This window comes from Homo sapiens, chromosome 3 (genome assembly GCF_000001405.40).
Source record: "Homo sapiens chromosome 3, GRCh38.p14 Primary Assembly".
Lineage (NCBI taxonomy): Eukaryota > Metazoa > Chordata > Mammalia > Primates > Hominidae > Homo > Homo sapiens.
Window position 1 is genome coordinate 129,381,276 of NC_000003.12, and position 19,970 is coordinate 129,401,245.

At 49.9% G+C, this 19,970-nt stretch overlaps 1 non-coding gene and 1 pseudogene across 2 annotated transcripts, besides 2 other annotated features; both read right to left on the reverse strand.

Annotated features, from left to right (window-relative positions):
• Positions 1-1,558: 1,558 nt before the first annotated feature.
• RPL32P3 (ribosomal protein L32 pseudogene 3) lies at positions 1,559-18,164 on the reverse strand (annotated as a pseudogene). Its single transcript, NR_003111.2, has 4 exons — positions 17,733-18,164; positions 15,765-15,865; positions 12,360-12,520; positions 1,559-2,943 (listed from the first exon to the last, which is right to left on the reverse strand). The product of NR_003111.2 is annotated as a ribosomal protein L32 pseudogene 3 (transcript).
• Positions 7,139-8,338: an enhancer, noted in NCBI's record as "P300/CBP strongly-dependent group 1 enhancer chr3:129107257-129108456 (GRCh37/hg19 assembly coordinates)". NCBI's record gives its function as "activates an origin of replication core promoter dependent on BRD2, BRD4, P300/CBP, MED14 and CDK7 cofactors, with strong dependence on P300/CBP, by STARR-seq in HCT116 cells {active_cell/tissue: HCT116}" and the evidence as "EXISTENCE:reporter gene assay evidence [ECO:0000049][PMID:35650434]".
• Positions 13,441-14,137: an enhancer, noted in NCBI's record as "H3K4me1 hESC enhancer chr3:129113559-129114255 (GRCh37/hg19 assembly coordinates)". NCBI's record gives its function as "activates a minimal SCP1, AML or CMV promoter by ChIP-STARR-seq in naive H9 embryonic stem cells {active_cell/tissue: H9 hESC(naive)}" and the evidence as "EXISTENCE:reporter gene assay evidence [ECO:0000049][PMID:30033119]".
• On the reverse strand, positions 15,935-16,073 carry SNORA7B (small nucleolar RNA, H/ACA box 7B). The gene has a single exon (NR_002992.2). It is a non-coding gene; the product is annotated as a small nucleolar RNA, H/ACA box 7B (small nucleolar RNA).
• Positions 18,165-19,970: the final 1,806 nt, after the last annotated feature.

The following is a 19,970-nucleotide window of genomic DNA, read 5'->3' on the forward strand; positions in this document are numbered from 1 at the left end:
TTTTTCCCTTGATGAAATCCTGCAGTCTGCTCCCATGTACCAGTACCTGGATAGGAAACTGTTCAAGGAAGCCTACCAGATTGCTTGCTTGGGTGTCACAGACACTGATTGGCGTGCACTGGCCATGGAAGCGCTAGGTTTAGATTTTGAAACAGCAAAGAAGGTAAGCATCTAGCCAGCAGGAGCTGGAGTTTGGTCCTTGTGGGGTCCCTTAAGAAGGCAGATGGGGACGCAGGTGGCACGGAGAGGCCATAGACTGCAGCAGTCTCTGGAGTTAGGCTGACCTGGGCTTGTATCTTAGCCACTTCCTCACTGTGGGCCTGGGTAGGTGACACCCTTTCTAAGATTGCTTCTCTATAGACGTAGGGTGATGACAGGCCCCATCCTCACAAAGCTGTGAGGATCAAATGGGAGGATGCCTGTAAAGCCTGACCCAGGAGCAGCATGTCAGATTCTGGCTGTCACTCTTATTAGCTGTTCTCTATGGGAAGCACCTGACTAGTAGCCTGGCACATCACAGGCACTCCGTAAATGGCGGCTTTTATTATCGGTGTAGTCACTGGCCATGATGCTGCACACAATGCTGCTTTTCTTAGCATCTGCCAACTAAGGTGGGAGAGATGGTCAAGGTCTCTGATTCTGACAGCAATGTGGGCACTTCCCACGTACCTTCATGGCGGGATTCATGGACTTGATTCGTTGTGTCCTTTCCTGGCCTAGTCTATGAAAGCTAGAGAGATGGCTGAAAACATCTGACCCCTCTCTGCACATAAGGAAAGGCCCAGGTATGTTCCTGAGCTGTGTTTCCATCTAGAACCTCAGATGGAGGAAGGAATGGCTTCCAACCTCCACTCCCCTACCCCTTCCCTCTTTATCTCCCCACAGTCAATTAAGGAGCTGCTCATTTTGTCCATATTCCTGGGCTGACATTGAAGGAGTGGCAAAGAGGGACGTGATGCCCGCCTTGGGTTAGATCAAGACTTGTAGGCATGAAGAGAGGAGACTGGACCAGACCAGGACTCAGAAGCCGGCTGAGAGCCAGCTGTGTCACGTAAGGGGCTCTGGGACCTCAGGCCAGCGGCTTCCCTCAGAGCCCCGGTCCTCCCAGTTCTGAAATGGGGGTAGTGAGAATGCCCACTGCAGTCACAAGGCTTAACTGAGATGTTGTAAAGGGGAATTTAAAGCAGGGATGGTTGTGCAGATGCTAGCCATTACTTGAACATTGTTACACAATGATCAAGATTATATTTTTAGATGTCCCCAGTGTAGGAAAGTGGAGATGGAGGAAGCTGTAAGATTCAGAGGAGGGAGGAGGCATCCCCATGGAGGGAGCTTCCCTCTCCTGCCCCACCCAGAAATGCCAGCAGGGAGGAAGATGACAAATCCCCAGAATAGGTGTTGTTTTGGGCACAGAATGAAATTAAGAACCTTCCCTCTAGATTGTCACCTCCTTACACCCAGGAACCAAACACGTACCTCATCTTAATAACACTGCACACTGCCTAGCACAGTGCCTTAGACAGGTTGGTGCTCAACAAATATTTGAATGGATAACAACTAAGTTTATTCGTTCATTTATTTAACTCCCCAGCCTGTATCACCAAAACACTCCCTGAGAATTGAAAGGGTGTATTAAAGCCACAAGATTTAAAAAATAACACTGTTCATTGATTTATTTAAATTAAAAAATAATTGTATATGGTAAATATCTATTAAGTACAACATGGGACAGGCACGGTGCCTCATGCCTGTAATCCCAGTTCTTTGGGAGGCCGAGACAGGCAGATCAGTTGAGGCCAGGAGTTTAAGACCAGCCTGGCCAAAGTAAAACCCTGACTCTACTAAAAAAATACAAAACTTAGCTGGGTGTGGTGGCGCATGCCTGTAGTCCCAGCTACTTGGGAGGCTGGGGCAGAATTGCTTGAACCAGGGAGACAGAGGCTACAGTGAGCCGAGATCATGCCACTGCATTCCAGCCTTGGTGACACAGCAAGACTCTGTCAAAAACACAAAAAAATCAGTACAATATGATGTTTTGAAAAAGCTGGATGATTTTGACAATAGGGTAGGAGTTGCTATTTCATCTAAATCCTGTATCCCCCCCCTTTCTTTCCCTCTGTGACAGGCACTCAGGCTCACCAGTTTGCACAGGGTGGTCCCCAGTGATGGTATGCCATCCCCACTAGATGGCAGAGAAGAGCTGCTGAGCTCTGGCCAGGCCATGAGTAGAGCTGCAGGTGCCTCCCTGTTCCCAGGCTTCCCTCTACTGAGCTCATTCAGGGGCCTTCTGACCACTCTGAACAGCTGCCGTGATGCTGCAGGATGCATCAGGTTGAAGGAACTTGGAAACAGATTTCTCAGTGGGCAAATCCTAGACTCCAGCACAGCCGACCTAGAGCTGGAAAGACCCTTGAGAGGGTGTCACTAGCAGCCCCCTTTCCACAAAGATGGCTGGAGCCCAGAAGCAGAGAAGTAGGCTCAGAGCGAGGACTGAGACCTCGAATGCTCCTTTCCCTCTCGGCCACTGTGCCGTGCTTTGCAGGGTTGTCCTCTCAAGGTGTTTTAAGGAAACCCAGATCTAGAGGGTAGTGTATAACACCTGCAGCTTGGCACAACAGCTACTGCTACCCCTCTGTTCCTTAGCCCATGTGATGCCCGCATTGCCCTTTTCTATGAATTCTTCTTCACAAACACTTGTTTGCTAGGTTCTGACTCTGATGCCTCCCTTAACGCTGCCTCCCACCCCTGCTCATGCTCAGACCATTCATCCGTGTTCTCCAGGCATCTGGTTCATAGTCGGAGAGCTCTTAGCTCTAGGAGGTGTCATTATCTGTTTAATTGGTCAGCCTCCCCTGTTAGAATGTGGCCTCTGAATTGTGGAGGGGGACAGGGGCCGAGACATGTTTCTTCCTGGGTCCTCAGTCTCTGACAGGAAGCCTGGTCCTGTGGGATGAAAAGATGAAGTTGCATTGTGGTCACCTGCAAGGCAGCCAGAGGCTGGGGACTCGCTCATCCCCTGAGGTCTTTTCAGGAGGGAGGATGCCATGCTGCTGAGCAGAGGCTGCAAGTGGTCAGGATTGCTCTGCGTGTTCGGTTCAAAGGGCTCTGGAGCTGCTGCCTCCTCTAGGCACAGGTCAGCCCATTTTGAATGGGGCGATAAATGGTGACAGCAAAGCCACCTGAAAGCAGCCTGACCTGGTGGCTTGTGCTCCTCCAAACCCTGGGCAGAATCTGAAAGCAGCAAAACTAGCTTAGCTAACACCAGTCTGCTTGTTCCTCAGAAACTTCTAGAGGTCCATGAGTTAAAGTCTCTGGCTTTACTGTGAGTTCAAGGCAAGGGCTGCAATTTTAGGATTTATATAAGAGTTTGCCTTCCACAGACTTGGCGGGATTCATTCCCTACCCCTCCACCTTCTCCAAGAATCTGTGTTTATGCCCTCTCAGCTTTCCCCTCCTCCACGCCCTCTGCAGTACCAGGTGCTCTGGGTCCCCTGTGTCTGTGGCACGACTGGGTAGGCACAGCTGTCCCCTGCATTCTACCCATGTCGCCAAGATGTATAGGCAGTCTCTCATCAGTCCATGCATCTCTCTCTCTCTTGCTGTGATGCTGCCTGCCCGCCCCCCCCGCCCCCCGCCGAGGGTCAAACTGGCTTCTTCTTTGGCTCGAGAGTCTCCCAAGGAGGCACCGCCACAGACTGTGGCATCGCGGTTTTGTTTTACCTGATCCCAAAATGACTGATGCAACCGGGATGTCTTTGCTGTTCTTTGCATGATCCAATTTTGGGGATAAAGCCGCGCCTCACTGGGTGGTATAACCTCCTGCACGCACGATGATTAATTTGTGCTTGCTCCCTTCCTCTCCTCTGTGGCTCACTGTCTAGGTGAGCTTGACTTCCCACCCCCAGCCAGTCACCCACTTTTGAAGCCAAGAAGGCAGCTGATTTTATTATTCCCCACAGGCTTTCATCAGAGTACAAGACCTCATCAGCAGCATTGAGGTAAAAGTTGAAGCATTCTTACTTGTCAAGAAAGTGGACTTGGGGTTCGGGGTTCAGGGGCAGCCCTTGTGGCAGGTGTATTAGTTCATTTTCACGCTGCTGGAAAAGATGTACGTGAGACTGGGCAATTTACAAAAGAAAGAGGTCTAATTAGACTTGCAGTTCCACATGGCTAAGGAAGCCTCATGATCATGGCAGAAGGCAAGGAAGAGCAAGTCACAGCTTATATGGATGGCAGCAGGCAAACAGAGAGCTTGTGCAGGGGAACTCCTCTTTTTAAAACCATCAGATCTCGTGAGACTTACTATCATGAGAACAGCATGGGAAAGACCTGCCCCATGATTCAATTACCCGCCACGGGGTCCCTCCCACAACACATGGGAATTCAAGATGAGATCTGGGTGGGGACACAGCCAAACCATATCAGCAGGCAAAAGCCCTGAGGACACGGGAGCAGAGCTCACTGGCGTCTGGGCATCTGGGCCACAGCCTTGCTCCAGGGGCAGAGTGGCCACACAGTAGGAGACAGCAGTGGGCAGTGTGAGCTGTCACGTGGTAACTGACTGAGGCAGATGGGTTCCCGATCTCTCCAGGGTTGGGTTTCTTGTCTGTGAAAAGGGATTGGACCTACGTCACAGGCTGCTGTGAGGATTCAGTAGGTTCTCAGGAACTGGTTTGCATCCTCCTGGTGGCGGATAGCTGGTCACCATCCTCTCAGACTCCAGTAATCTGATAGCGCTGGAGGAGTTTCCCAAATGCACATGAGCTGAGCTCCATTCCCCAGAAATGGACCTGGGGAGCAAGGCCCACAGTCTGAACTGAGCGCCCCAGAGTTCTGGAGCAACTCCCAGCCCTACTGTTCCTGGCTGAGAATATTCAGTTTGTCATCCAACCCAATAGGCCTGCAGTGGGCTAATGAAACTGGGCGCTGGGTGGTGGTAGACACCATTCCTTTTATTCTTTTTTTTTTTTTTTTTTTTTGAGGCAGGGTCTCACTCTGTTCCCCAGGCCAGGGTGCAGTGGCACAATCATGGCTCACTGAAGCCTAGACCTCCTGGGATCAAGCAATCCTCACACCTCAGCCTCCCAAGTAGCTGGGACCACATGTGCACACCACCACGCCTGGTTAACTTTGTTTGTATTTTTTGTATTGTCAGGGTTTTGCCATGTAGCCCAGTTTGGTTTCAAATTCCTGGGCTCAAGCAATTAGCTCACTTTAGCCTTCCAAAGTACTAGCATTATAGACTTGAGCTACCACGCCCTGCCCTTAGACAGAAAGTTCTTTCTTTCTTTTTTTTTTTTTGAGACGGAGTTTTGCTCTGTCGCCCAGGCTGGAGTGCAGTGGCGCGATCTTGGCTCACTGCAAGCTCCGCCTTCCAGGTTCACGCCATTCTCCTGCCTCAGCCTCCTGAGTAGCTGGGACTACAGGTGCCCGCCACCACACCTGGCTAATTTTTGTATTTTTAGTAGAGACGGGGTTTCACTGTGTTAGCCAGGATGGTCTCGATCTCCTGACCTCGTGATCCACCCGCCTCAGCCTCCCAAAGTGCTGGGATTACAGGCGTGAGCCACCGCGCCCAGCCTGAAAGTTCTTACTTTCTGTATATCTCAGTGCTGTCTGTTAAAAGGCGTACACATTTTTTCTCCTGAACAGATTTATTGTGAGGGTATGGGAACGTGAGATACATTTGAATTCCCAGTTGGAAACAGTGAAGAAATCAGCAAATGTCTTGTCCCTCTCATTTATTTCCACATAATAAACACCTGTCATGGGCCAACCCTTGTGCCGAGCTCAGTGGGCACAGAGCTGAGGAGAGAGGCCGACAGGAGCTCCCAGCCTGCCAAGCCTCATAACGTAAGCTGCTCTGTGTTGAGTCTGCTCTGTGCCCCACGCGTCATTTATGCAAATGCTGCTCTAGATCCTCACGTTAGCTGAATGAGGCAGGTACTATTGCTCTCCCTATTCCATGCAGGAGGAAACTAAGGCTCAGCGAGACATATGCCACGTCCCCATGGGTCCACAGCCAAAAGCTCAGTGGAATTCAAATCCACTCTGTCTCCTAAGCTTATGCTCTCTCGGCCACATACCCTCCCCACCCATGTATCGTAAGGGGCATCTGTATATTCTGGGGTTTACCTACCCGCATGGTAAAGGGCTTGTTCAGAGCTATTGCCTGAAATGCCCAGTGCTGCTGACTCTCACTTGTAAATCCACTGGCCTGGATCTGGGGGTCTTCACCTGAAGCCAAGGAGCATAACTTTGCTGTCTACAAAAGTAATGATTGCTGTGGGGTCCAACTATTGTCATTTGTCAGGTCTTACCAAGGTTAAAATGTCTGCCTCTCCTCGTGTGCTATGAGCTGGGAAGTGGGTTAAAGTAAACTCCTAAGAGTGTATCTTAAAAAAAAATGAAGTGCCTTCAAGTGCGCTCCACATCGACTGCTCAGGGCTTAGTTGCACACATCTGGGTGCTCAGCATAATTCCAGAGAACTGCGGATCCTCAGTGGGTGCCTTTTGGATAGGGGAGATGTTCTTGTCCTGCTGACGGGGAGAAAGAACCTGCCCATGTTGACATGCACCTGCTGAGTGCCACAGATTGTTTTTATTGGTCATGGTGATATCCTGGGGCCTAGAATGGAAATGGACTCATTTTCATGCCTAGTAAAACCTTTTTTTTGGGAGGTTTTTTTTTTTTTCTTTTTTTTTGCAGAGAGAGAGTCTTGCTATGTTGACCAGGCTGGTCTTGAATTCCTGGGCTCAGGCGATCCTCCTGCTGTGCCCTCCTAAAGTGTAGGGATCACAGGCATGAGTCATCACATCCAGCCAAAATCTATCTTTTATCTCACCGCAAGCTTTTAATTCATTTCCAACTATTAGGAATTAGTTTGTTTCATAAGCCTGAGATATGTGCAGGATTTTTGAAAGATGATTTCTGTCAGTGTGGAAGCATGTTGCCTCCAGCAGTCGTTAAAACTTTCACCAGCTTGTCTAAGAGTTTGATTCAATGTCTCATCGTCCTCCGACATGCTACTCTTGCTAGTAAACAAGCAAAAGGAAACTGCTAGGGCTCAGGGTTTGGGTGCTACTGAGTGTTTACAAATACTCGAGCTGTAGACAAGCAAATGTTCCCTGACACAGAAGGAAGAAGTGTGCAGGATATTCCTCTTTATCCTCAGCTCTGCTGAGAGAGAGAGAGAGAGAGAGAGAGAGAGAGAGAGAGAGAGAGAGTGTGTGTGTGTGTGTGTGTGTGTTGGGGACAATCACTTGCTTCAGAAGACAGTATTGTGTGATACAAGGAATATCTGGAGTCAGACAGAACTGTGTCCAAATTCCAGCTCTGTCTGACCCTGACCTGTTCCTCTTCTTGGTCTCAGCGTCCTTCACTCTAACACTTGGGTAGTGAGACCTACCCTGAGGGTCACTGAGAGGAATAAAGGGGCCATGTGTGTATAAAGTATATACCCAGAACCTAGTGGATGTTCAGCACGGGATTTCTTACCTTCTCTTTAGAAGTAGGGACATCGTAAGACTTGTCATCCTATTTTATTGGTCTCCCTCTTGGGCAGAAACCCTAAACATTCTGCTCTGTCATCCCCATGAGCCACAACTCTGCCAAACGGGGCCTGCGGATTTGGGAGATCTTGGGAGCTTAGGGGTCATGGATGAGTCAGAGCACACACTATTCAAACTATTCCGTCATAGCTTTGGAATACACAGGAAAGCAACCCTGAGGAATTTCCATTAAACAAACAAAGGTTTGCATCTTTTTTTGATCTTTGCTTGTCTGGTAAAAGCCTGCTTTTGTTATCAAGCCTTCCCAGCGGGAACCTAGGGGAGAGAGACAACAGCCAGGAGCCAAGCCCAGGTTCCAGTAGGAAGGCCCAGGGGCCTCACTTGAAATAGCCACATCTAACCTTTGTAAAGGCTGCTTTCTGCCCATGGCTGCAGAGGCCATTTCCTTTGCTTCTAATTTTTCCAGGAGAGGAAGAAGCGGGGAGAGACCAACAATGACCTGTTTCTGGCAGATGTGTTTTCCTACCAGGGAAGCTCCATGAGGCTGCCAAACTGTACAAGAGGAGTGGGCACGAGAACCTTGCACATGAAATGTGTTGGAAGAAAAGCTGAGTGTTGGGAGAGAAGCTGAGGCAGGGCTTGCATGTTTGCTAGACTTGCTGCTCCTTGCTTCTAGCATTCCCATGTTCTCAAGTAGCCATATGTTTCTCATTCACTTGATACACCGTTTCCTTTCAACCCCCACATCCTCACCACCTGTTTGTTGCAGCCTCCACACTTGTGATAGCCCCCTGGTCCCATTTTGTCTCTCAAACTGTCTTTCTCATTCCTTGGACTCCACTGGACTTCGTCGCCCCCATGACCTGCTGTTGGGTCTGATCACCCCAAAAGAAATGAGGTTTGAGTATGTTAGAGTATGCCAAGGTAACCCACCCTGTCCCAGGCCCATGCTCTGGCTTGGAGCCCACTGGTGATCTCACCCACGGTGTCCAGGTTGTTTTCCCTAAGACTGGTGCAGACAAAAACTAGCAATGGTCTCAGACAGGATGTGGGGAAACTGGTAAACAAAGGACCCATCTACAGCCACTGGTTGAAACTCACCTAAAACTGACCTTTAAGGCTGACACCAAAGGGGCAGAGTATGGCAGTTCAGACCTTCATCAGTGACAGAGCTGGATGGCTGTGGGTCTACACCAGCACAATCCCTTCATTGAGTTGAGGGCTCAGGGCTTCAGGGCTGTCCCCCACAAATCCTCTCAATCCTTGTCAGGAGCCGCCAAGAATCGGTGTCTTCAGGAAGGAGCCGGTCCTGCCGATCATACAGGACGACATGGTGCCTGCCAGCCAAGGTTCCCATAGCACCTGCTGATTGTCCTGGACTTCTCACTGGGCTTCTGGGAAGTCAGGCAGAGCCTCCGCCCTCCCATGTTAGCGCAGCATGCCTCACGCCTGCCGGCTGCAGAGTGGCTACCATGTGGTTGCAGTGGGTGATGGCAGAGATTCCCTTTTGCATTGGGACGGCCCCCATGAACCTTACTCCCCAGCAGAGCTGGGCCTTTTAAGGCAGGTGTAGGAGAGGAGCTTCCTGGACCAGGCTCCTGATGGCTTCTGTGGGAAGGAGTTGCACTAAGGAGCCCAGAGCAGTCAAGACATTTGCAGTTCAGTCTAAGCAAGGTTCAAAGAGGCTTGGGTACATTGGGCAATGAGGGTCTTCCTTCCATCAAGGGGTTTTGTTAACCTGCCTTTTCTGGGAGTGTCAAAAGTGGCTCTCAGTGTGTTATGAAGGGACTCATCGGCCATAACCTATTAGTGGGCTACTAATGGTAATTCTCCAGCTCACAAGTTCAAGATAGAAAATCTTCCCCACTTTTTTCTGATTTTCCAGATGGCTGTGCTCTTCCACCATCTATTCGACCCTGGAGCTGAAGGTGTGTTTGGTGGCCTGTGATGTTGCCCAGGACTTGTTGTTCATCAGGACTTGGACGAGCTCCTGGGCCCCAGCCTGTCTTTTCACCTTAGTGATTTCTTCACTCCGTACCTGAGACCCAGGGTGTTCAGGCTCCCTCTACTTTTTCCTCGTCACCTTTCCTACCCTCCCTCAGGCCCCACCACAGACACCTAGAAGATTTCATACCACATTCATACTGAGATCACCAGAGTCAGTGCATCTCTGCTTCCGGGGATAACAAAATTTTAACTCAGGATGAACTCTTGAGGGATCAAGACCCTAGAGGTAGAATTTAGGCTTAGGAACCCCTGACGCCTCCAAGGAGACAGCTGTACTGCAGTCTGAATTTGAGAAATGTGTACATACACATTATGTGGGGGGTGGGGGAGATCTAGTGCTGATTAACATGGCATGTTTTTGTTTACTTGAAAATTGCTTCTCAAGATTTAATCTAGTTTTCAGAAAATTTTTAAATTTACATTCTCATGTACAAATAAATTGTATGCTTTCCGGATAAGTGACATGTTTATATGGTGATAAAGGGAATTATAATGCTCTTAACTCTTATGTAGTATGTTCTCATCAAAATCACCAAGCATGAGAACACTGTTTAGTCTCATTCATCACTCAGCACAGCCTCTTTCTGTCCACTTCAGGGCCAAGTCTTTGCCATGGCCCCACATAACGTGTAAATTAGCTTCAGGGATCAAAAATCTTTGAAAACCCAGTTTGCTGAGCCTTGAAGGAAGCCTTTAGACCCAGCTTCAATGAAGTCACAGCTCCCTGAGGGTCCTGGTGGACTGGAGGCGGCCTCCCAAGCCTGGGAGCTGTGTGCCTGGATGGTCTCACTGGGGTGATGACCCAAGCTCATGGCTCCCTCTCAACCTCTAACCCTTCTTAACACAGTCACCCCTGGTCCCCTGAGCACTCACTGAAGTCCCTTTGAAGGACATTTCTAGTCTCCTAAGATGCCTGTTTCCTCCAGCTGCCACCCTCATTTCACCAGCCAGGTAGGCAGGTTTTCCAGCTTCGTGCTGGCATAGAGAATCCGTGCCATAGCAGCTGCCAAAAGGAAAGGTGTGTCTGTAAAGGCCCAAACTAGGCGGGGACAGTGGCTGCTTTCCAAGCCCCTTCCCTTTGTCAGCTCCAGGGAGAACCAAAGGCCAGCCAGGGGGCCTGTCTTCTATTGGGTCCCAGCATCAGGGTATACAATGCGCTTTCCTCCCCTTCTTAAAATGTATCATATATTAGGCCGACCTAATACTCTGAAAGCACATTTACTCTGAAAGCAAATGAGGGAAAAAAGCGAGCTAATTGTTCAAGTGGATTTTTAGCATACATTGACTGTACTTTCCTGACACATGAGTGTTAATCATGGGGAAAGGAGTGCTTTTTTTGTTCTCAGTGAGGCTGACACAAAGTACTCTCCACAGGGTACATTATTCCTGAGACAAACCACTTCTTACCAGTAACATAGACCTGGGCTGTAAGTGCTCCCAGTTTCCCTTTTTGAAAAGCTCCACCTTTAAAAGCTGCCTCAACTCTGGCAAACTCCCACGTGTGTATTTTGGGTAACTACCCTGAAAAGAGGTGGTGTTCTGAGGCTGTTTCTCACACATTGTAGGGCCTGCCCAGAGAAGCTGGGCATACCGCTTCAGAGGTATGCTGAGGCCGAAGGAACACAGGCCCTAGGCCTGATCCCTGAGCCTCCAGGACCACAGCCATCTCTTCCTTCTCAGGTCCTCTCCTGAGCACCTTCCCTGCCTCAGATCCCCCCATGGCCTCCTGCTGTCCCACTGTCGGATCAGGTTCTCACCCCTGCAGACCTGACCTCAGCACAGGATCCCTAACCATTCAGCCGAGAAGCAACTAACCAGAGAGAGGTTTGCTTGTTATCTGTTCCAGGAAAGTAACTGGGGCAAAGACAATGTGATGATTCTCTAGTTCAGGGCACAGAATGTTTGCTGGTGACTCAGAGAGGGCATGGAGGGCACGGAGGGCCGGCAAACACTGTAAGTCATTTTGTCTGTGTAAGTTTAGGGGAACCCATGCTCAGCCTCACTCTGAAGCATGTGGTATCACCCATATGATCTGAATAAGATGACAGGTCTCGATATGTGGAACTGTGCACCAGGTTGTCTCATTGCTGTTTAGGAACAGTCCTGTATTTACCAAACTATGTGAGAGAGAGACAGCCTGATCATGAACCCCCGACCCTGCAGACTTCATGTGCAGTGCCCCAAATAGTCTAGAAAGTGTTGTTTAGCCGATGAACAAATGCCCATTTGTGAGATGGGAAGGAAGCACTGGGGGCCAGCGTCCCTGATGCTGTCCCAGGATCCCCCAGGAACACCTGCAGGGCAGCCTGAGATCACTCTTCCCGAGACCTGGGACTCCCCCAACTCAGCCCCTCAGGGCCGGGCCCTGCCTACCTCCTGGTTGCCTGCTTCAGCCATGTGGAGCCCGCCCTTGCTGCTAGAAAACCCTGATGTAACGCTGGCACAGGAAGTTCTGATCCAGAGTGTTTTTGTTTGTTGTGCTTCCTCAGGATTTCTTTGGATCTGGAGACCCCAAAGAAACAAAGATGCTAATCACCAAACAGGCTGACTGGGCCAGAAATATGAAAGAGCCCAAAGTCACCGTGGGGATGTAAATCTCAGCAGGAGAGCACGTCAAGGCCATTGAGATCTGTGGTGACTATGTCAGGGTTGACATGAAAGTTTCCGTCTGTGCCCTGAGCATTTGGCAGCATGTCATCACATGCCACCTCTTGGCTTTGACTGACAAGGAAACAAATCGTGCGTCTCTAAATATTTAAAGCAAATGTGATAGCGATTGGGTTCCTTGGGAGACACAGAGACTGCCTGTGTTTAGCACTCAGAGCAGGCCCCACACTCACCTCTTCCTTTAGAGGGCAGTCATTGAGGAATTCTCACGCCTTGGCCTCCACTTTTCTGTGTGAATTCCTGCACCCGTGGTATAAAGAGCGCTGGGCCACTTCCTGGCTGCTGAGTCTTGGGCTGGGTGCTTCACCTTCACCCCAGACATTATTCTTCTCATCTGCAAGATGGAAATAATCATGCCCACCTCTTAGGGACCCAAGTGACAGGGCTTGGGTATTTCGGCAGGCCTTTATCCTGCTTCCCCATGGCATGGAGCTCCTGGGCCTGGCACCCCTTCCCTGCCTGCCCACCCGGGTGGCCTTTCCTCTTGGCAGCCAGGCCCCAGGGGCCCGAAGCCAGAGTCCAGGGGGAGGAGGACACGTGCCTGCCCCGGCCCCTCGGGAGTCCGTGGCTGTTTTGTAGGAGTTGGTGCCCTTGTGCTACCGCTGCTCCACCAACAACCCGCTGCTCAACAACCTGGGCAACGTCTGCATCAACTGCCGCCAGCCCTTCATCTTCTCCGCCTCTTCCTACGGTGAGTCCCTGCATCCTGAGCATGTGGGTGGGACAGCCTGTGGACGGCTAGGCTCACTCCACTGCTCTCTGGCCTCAGGACATTGGGCAAGGGCCAAAGGCCTCTGAATGTCCCTGTTTATGAAATGAGGACACTCTGACACCCACCTACCTGACACAAGGAGTCACTGTCGGTGTTCCCAGAGATAGGACCCACTGCTGCCCAAAGCTGAAGCACCCACTCTGGGAACCTGGCGCAGGGCTTTACATAACCAAATGCCCCAGGAAGAGAGTCCGATGGCTTTGCATTCAGACCAGGAGGCTGAGATAGGTTTTCAAGGCCCAGCTCCTTTGATGTTGACAGAGGATCAGAAGCCCCTTCCCAGGAGCTGAGCAGAGGCCACACACACACAGAGACTGCCCCTGCACACACACACACACACACACACAGAGATTGCCCCTGCACATACACACACACACAGAGACTGCCCCTGCACACACACACACACTGCCCCTGCACACACACATACACAGATGGCCCCTACACACAGACTGCCCCTGCACACACACACACACACACACACACACACACACACACAGAGACGGCCCCTGCACACACACACAGACTACCCCTGCACACACACAGAGCTAGCCCCTGCACACACACACACAGAGCTAGCCCCTGCACACACACAGACTGCCCCTGCACACACATACACACACATACACACACAGAGACAGCCCCTGCACACACACACACCGACGGCCCCTGCACCCACACAGACTGCTCTTGCACACACACACACTCACACACATACACAGAGACTGCCCTTGCACACACACACACAGAGACTACCCTTGCGCACACACAGAGACTGCCCCTGTACCCCACACAGACTGCCCCTGCTGCCTCTGCTTGCCTATTTTTTTTTTTTTTGTATTTTTAGTAGAGACGGGGTTTCACCGTGTCAGCCAGGATGGTCTCGATCTCCTGACCTTGTGATCCGCCCACCTCGCCCTCCCAAAAGTGCTGGGATTACAGGCGTGAGCTTGCCTAGTTTTTTAAACCTGCTGTTCTTGTGCAGGCATGGTGGCTCATGTCTGTAATCCCAGCACCTTGGGAGGGCGAAGCAGGAGGATCACTTGAGCCCAGGAGTTCAAGGGTGCAGCAGGCCATCATCATAGCTGTTAATGGCCACTGCATTCTAGCCTGGGCAACAGAGTAGAAACGTCTCTAAAAACAAACCGTAAACACTACCTAGCACTAATGTCCTGTGACCCCTCCTTGCACTCTCCACCTTTGTGTAAAGTACTCTCTGTCCACAAAGTCTTCCTCTTATTCTCCCTCTAGTTCACATTTGGTTGTAAAGCCTCCGTACCCCTGAAAATACCCCTTACCAAAGCATAAAGGGCCTCTTAAAGTCTGAGGCCTATGTTTGATCTTCCCCAAATTCCCTCATAAATAAAGCAACATTCTGGAAACAACAGCCAAAAGATATTATATTGAAAACCGGTGATTACTGCTGTGTTCACTGTGTCAAGCAAAGTCCATTTTTCTGGTCTTGGGACTCCACAGCTATGAGGACAAAAGTCTCTCCCCTCTCCAACAAAGGAAACACACTGAACTCCCCAAGAAGCATTCTCTTTTTCCTTTTGGGATGGAGTTTCACTGTCGCCCTAGGCTGGAGTGCAGTGGCGCGATCGTAGCTCACTGCAACCTCTCCTGCTGGTTCTCCCACCTCAGCCTCCTGAGTAGCTGAGATTACAGGCGTGTACCACCACGCCCAGCTAATTTTGTCTTTTTAGTAGAGATGGGGTTTCGTCAAGTTGGCCAGGCTGGTCTCGAACTCCTGACCTCAGGTGATCTGCCCACCTCGGCCTCCCAAAGTGCTGGGATTACAGGCATGAGCCACCACACCTGGCCCCAAACAAGCATTCTCTAAACTCCTGTAAGGAATGACTTCACATTCCCTCAGAGAATGTCAGCTTCCCAAAATGCATCCCAAGAGTTTCCAGAGTTCCTGCCAGAAGTGCCCGCACAGATGCAAACTTCAGACCCCTGAAACCAGAGATGGACCCAACTCACTTGTTGCATATCAGCAGCACTCTCAGCTCCTTGACATTGTGGACCAGGAACTTCCGGAAGCCACTGGGCAGCACGTGCTTTCTGGTTTTTTTTTTTTTTTTTTTTTTTTGCTCCTATAACCAATGCTGGGCATCATATCAAGACCTGGCCCTTGAACCTTCTATGAACCCTGTTGTCAATGCCTCTGGGTTTCCACCAGTTACGCTGAAGGAAATAATACACAGGTGGGTTAGCATCTGTGCAGACTGCCAACTGTTCCATAGGGGAGGGAAAAAAGGACCAAATGAAAAGGAAGTATGCCACACAGTAGTTGCCTTTGGTAATAGGACTTCACTATTTCCTTACATGCTTTTTTGGTGGGAAAAACCAGGAGCTCGTGGCTTTTGCCACTAGGAAGGCAGGCACCCCCGCCATTCTCACTCCCAAGAAATGGAGACACCAATGGGATGCGAGGGGACTGTGTAGATATTGAGATGGCGAGCACAGGTGCAGACACTGCTCTCAGCACCTCTGAGTTTTCTTGTCTATAAAATAGGGATCCTGCTGTCATAAGGCAACCCAAAATACATGATACAAATGCAAAGCCCTCCAAACATATCAAAATGGCCAAGTGTCCCTTTTCATTAAAGTTTCACTTCACACATCAAGAGACGTAAGTACCAGCACTAGGGCACACTGGGGGAGACCTGTATTTCCACAGAAAGCTCTTCCACAAACCAGTTCATCGGTCAAAGGTAATCCTGACTAGGTGATGTCAGAACTGGCAGCCTGTTGGAAACTCCTTTCTTCACCCCACACCCATTTCCATCCCAGGACCACACACCTTGATTTTGACATATCGGTCTGACTGGTGCCGGATGAATTTCTTGGTTCTCTTTTTGACGATCTTGGGCTTCACAAGGGATCTGAGGGCAGCCATGATGCCTTTTGGGGAAGAAGTAGCCCCAGGTGAGGAAGAATCCTGGAAGGAGGCTTTCCCGCCCAGGGACTGAACACTGTCGCAGAGTGTCTTCCAATCACCAGCTACGGAGCAAGCTGGGAATGGAATGGGTGCCTCTGCCAGGCTTGCTTTCCCTCCCTTTCCGAAGCTGGCAGAATACTAGGCAGTCTCCAGATGCGATCCCAGGAGGTCAAGGGTCACCTCACCCACTCAGAGCCCAAAGAATGCCAACAGCTGAGCAAATCAAAACTGACCCCAAGACACTCTCAATTTGCAAGGGGCAGCAAATCCCACCCTGCCAGTGTCTGAACCCCCAGATGGTCCTTCCGGTAGTACTGGCCTTGACCATCTACTTGAACTGGAGTCTCAGTTTCCTCACCTGTAAAATGGAGACGACATTGTGTGCTGAATGCCTGCAGTACCTGTCACAGGGTAAATGTTCAATAAAGAAAACCTTCTAATTCCCTAGGTAGCAGCTGCGCTACCACACCCCCAACACACACAAAACCATCATATCCCTCTAAGGATGCCTCAAACCTGGAGATCTTCCATTATCAACTCACAACTTCCTCAGTGTGGTCTTCTGAGCCATTCATTTATTTCCTACAGCAGCACCCCTTCTGTTCTCTTTGCAGCCATCAGTTGGCACAGAGTGGGTACTCAATGAACCACGTATTCAAAACAACTTTGCCTTCTGGCCCATGATATCCTTGAAGGCAAGGGGGAAGTTTCATCTTTATATTCCCAGAGCTCCTGACGATCAAAATCTCTGTTAACAACTGAGTGAGCTGACCTGCACCCCATCTTTTTTTTTTTTTTTTTTTTTTTTTTTTTGCAGTCCCACCACAGCAGCCCTAGGGTCACAGGCTAGAAGGAAAGGAACGTGGGGTCATGGCAATGAATGAATGCACGTGGGCCAACATCAGTAAGCACGGTATAAACCGAAAAATAAATTCTAAGCCCCCCACCCAACTGAATGGACTCCTGCTCTTGGCCAAGGGCATTCCAAAGTTAACCTGAAAAACTAGTTCAAGCCATAATGGGAATGTGGGGTCGAACTTGCCTCATTATGCCCTTCTCCCTATGGAATTCAGGCACAGCTGACCAGCGTTAGCATTAAAAGAGATCCCAAGACTGACAAAACAGACTTTGTAGCAATAAGACACCAAATTTCAACCTGACTCTAGTATAGCATCACATGACAGATTGCAGGCCCTGAAAGAAACAGAAGTACTTTACCCAAAAATATATTTCTTTGACATATTCTGACATGGCCCTGTAAAGCTGTCTCTTGTGGGGACAATCTACGTCCTGTAGTGAATCCCCCTCCCTTTCCAGGTCTTCTCCCTGAGCCAGGAGAGGCTCCACTAAGACTTTGGCACCTTTTCAGGCCTGGTAAGAAACATTTACGATCTACTCTCTTTGAAGCCCGCTACCTGGAGGCTTCCTCTGCATAAATAAGAACCTTGGTCTCCACAACCTCTTATCTGAACCCAGGCATTCCTTTTTGTTGATTCCAAGTCTTTAGACAAACTCAACCAATTGTCAAATCTACCAACAGCCCGGACCAGGCCCCCCAACACACCTCCCTAAAATGTACAAAACCAAGCTGCACCCCAACCACCTTGGGCACATGTTCTCAGGACTTCCTGAGGGCTTTGTCACGGGCCGTGGTCACTCATACTGGACTCAGAATAAGTCTTTTCAAATACTTTACACAGTTTGACTCTTTTCGTCAATAGACGCAAAGCCCAACCACCACCCCGGCTGCCTGCTTCACTCTGTTCGTGTACGCGCTCCAGCAAGCCGACAATACCCACAGACACAGAGTGGTAGGGAAGGCCTCCTTACCAGGGGACCATAGGGCCAGATGAAGCCTGCAGGAACGCAGATGGCCACGGATTAAGACTCACTCAGGCCGGGCGCGGTGGCTCACGCCTGTAATCCCAGAACTTTGGAAGGCCGAGGCGGACGGATCACTTGAGGTCAGGCGTTCCAGACCAGCCTGGCCAACATAGTGAAACCCACTCTCTACTAAAAATTCAAAAATTAGCCAGGCGTGGTGGTGGGCGCCGGTAGTCCCAGCTACTTGGCAGGCTGAGGCAGGAGAATCGCTTGAACCCCGGAAGCGGAGGCTGCAGTAAGCTGAGATCGCACCACTGCACTCCAGCCTGGGAAGCAAAGTGAGACTCTGTCTCAAAAACAAACAAACAAACAAACTCACCGAGCAGGAAAAAGAAGCACCAAGGAAGAGAGAAGGGATGAGAGAGCGCCGGGGCTGATGGGAGGTAACCTCTGGGTCCTGACAGGGAAAAGGCAAGCACTTCCGGCTCCGGGTCCTTAAAAAAAAGACATGTCAAAGAAAGAGTGCTGCAGAAATGCCGAATTTAACTGTTTTAATAGAGAGTAATATCTAAGAATGTAAAGGAAAATTTATCTTACCTGCCCTTGGCACTAGTTAGAAAGTTGGAATTCTTTCTGAGTTGAGACCTGGTGTAGGGAGGAATCTACTTCCGCCAGAAGTTGAAGCCAATCTAGCGTTTGGGCTATTTCCGCCCTTGTTTCCTCTACTCCGAAGTGCGCTTCCTAGCGGTCAGGAGAGATCAAGACCGACTTCCCAAAATTCCCTCACTGAATTTACATAGTAAATAGTGATGAGACCGGAACCGCTAACGTACGATGGGCCTACCACAATTCTATAATGTAACCTATTATTGTCTCTATTTTGCATATGTGGAAGGAGAATTTTGGAGATTTTACTCCAAGCTCCACGCTTCTAACCATTAGTCTAAACTACCTTGCTTTGTTTTGTTGGTTGTTTTGTAGAGTTATGGTTTTACTATTTTGGCCAGGCTGGTCTTAAGCGATCTCTCGCCTCAGCCTCCTGAGTAGCGGGGATTACAAATATGAGCCATTGTTCCCAGCTACTGTCTAATTTTTAAGCTTGTTCTTGATTTGCTTAGCTTTTTTTTTTTTTTTTTTTTTTTTTTTTTTGAGAGGGAGTCTCACTCTGTTGCACAGGCTGGAGTGCAGTGGAGTGGCAAGATCTCGGCTCACTGCAACTTCTGCCTCCCAGGTTCAAGGGACAAGGGATTCTCCTGCCTCAGGCTCCGTAGTAGCTGGGATTACAGGTGTGCGCCACCACACTCGACTAATTTTTTTTAATTTTCAGTAGAGACAAGGGTCTCACTATGTTGGTCAACCTGGTCTCAAACTCCTGACCTCAGGTGATCTGCCCACCTTGGCCTCCCAAAATGCTGGGATTACAGGCGTGAGCCACCGCGCCCAGCCCTTAGCTTTTGTTTTTAAGATTATTTTGAAAATCAAATTTCAGGAGGAAAAAAACCTCCTAGATTCCACTCCTGGAACACAGTACAGATGTCACTGGCGATCTTGACAGGGATAGTTCCAGGGACCAGATGGGGTCAGAAGCTAAACTGGATTGTATTGATGACTGAATGAGAGAGAGGTGAGAAGGGTGTGTTAACAACTCCATGGTGAGATTTTTGGGTGTGAGGAGAATGGGGAGTTTGAGGAGACCCAGAGAAGTGGAATGTCTGAGGTCACACAGCTGGCAAGCCGTAGTGCTGGGGCTAGAACCCTGCTGCATCTGTGGCTATTCCACACCTCATGAATCTTGCTTATCCTGCAGGCTGTATGTAGTGAGATGGGATGCGGAGCAGGGAAGCACATTACTAATGGCAGCCTGAATGATGCCTGTCATGAAAGAAAAGGTCTTGATTGGGTCAAGTGGGTTCATCAACTGGGAGGGTTCATGAACCACAGAGCCTGCCTTCAGTTTCCAAAGACCCAAGAGATTTGGAAGCAGTAACCTGATGGCTCAGTCTTTGTGGGGTACGGGACATGCTGCCACCTCACTTCACAGAGGAGAGTACGGGGTACCCACACTGCTTCCCTGTGGGCACTGGGGTCCCAGGACAAGAGGCTGGAGGTGGCCTGCAGTCATCCCTGGAATAGCCCAGGGAACGTACCTGTATTCCCCCAGGCTCAAGGTTTCCCCACTGGGATCCCGGGACAAGAGGCTGGAGGTGGCCTGCAGTCATCCCTGGAATAGCCCAGGGAATGTAC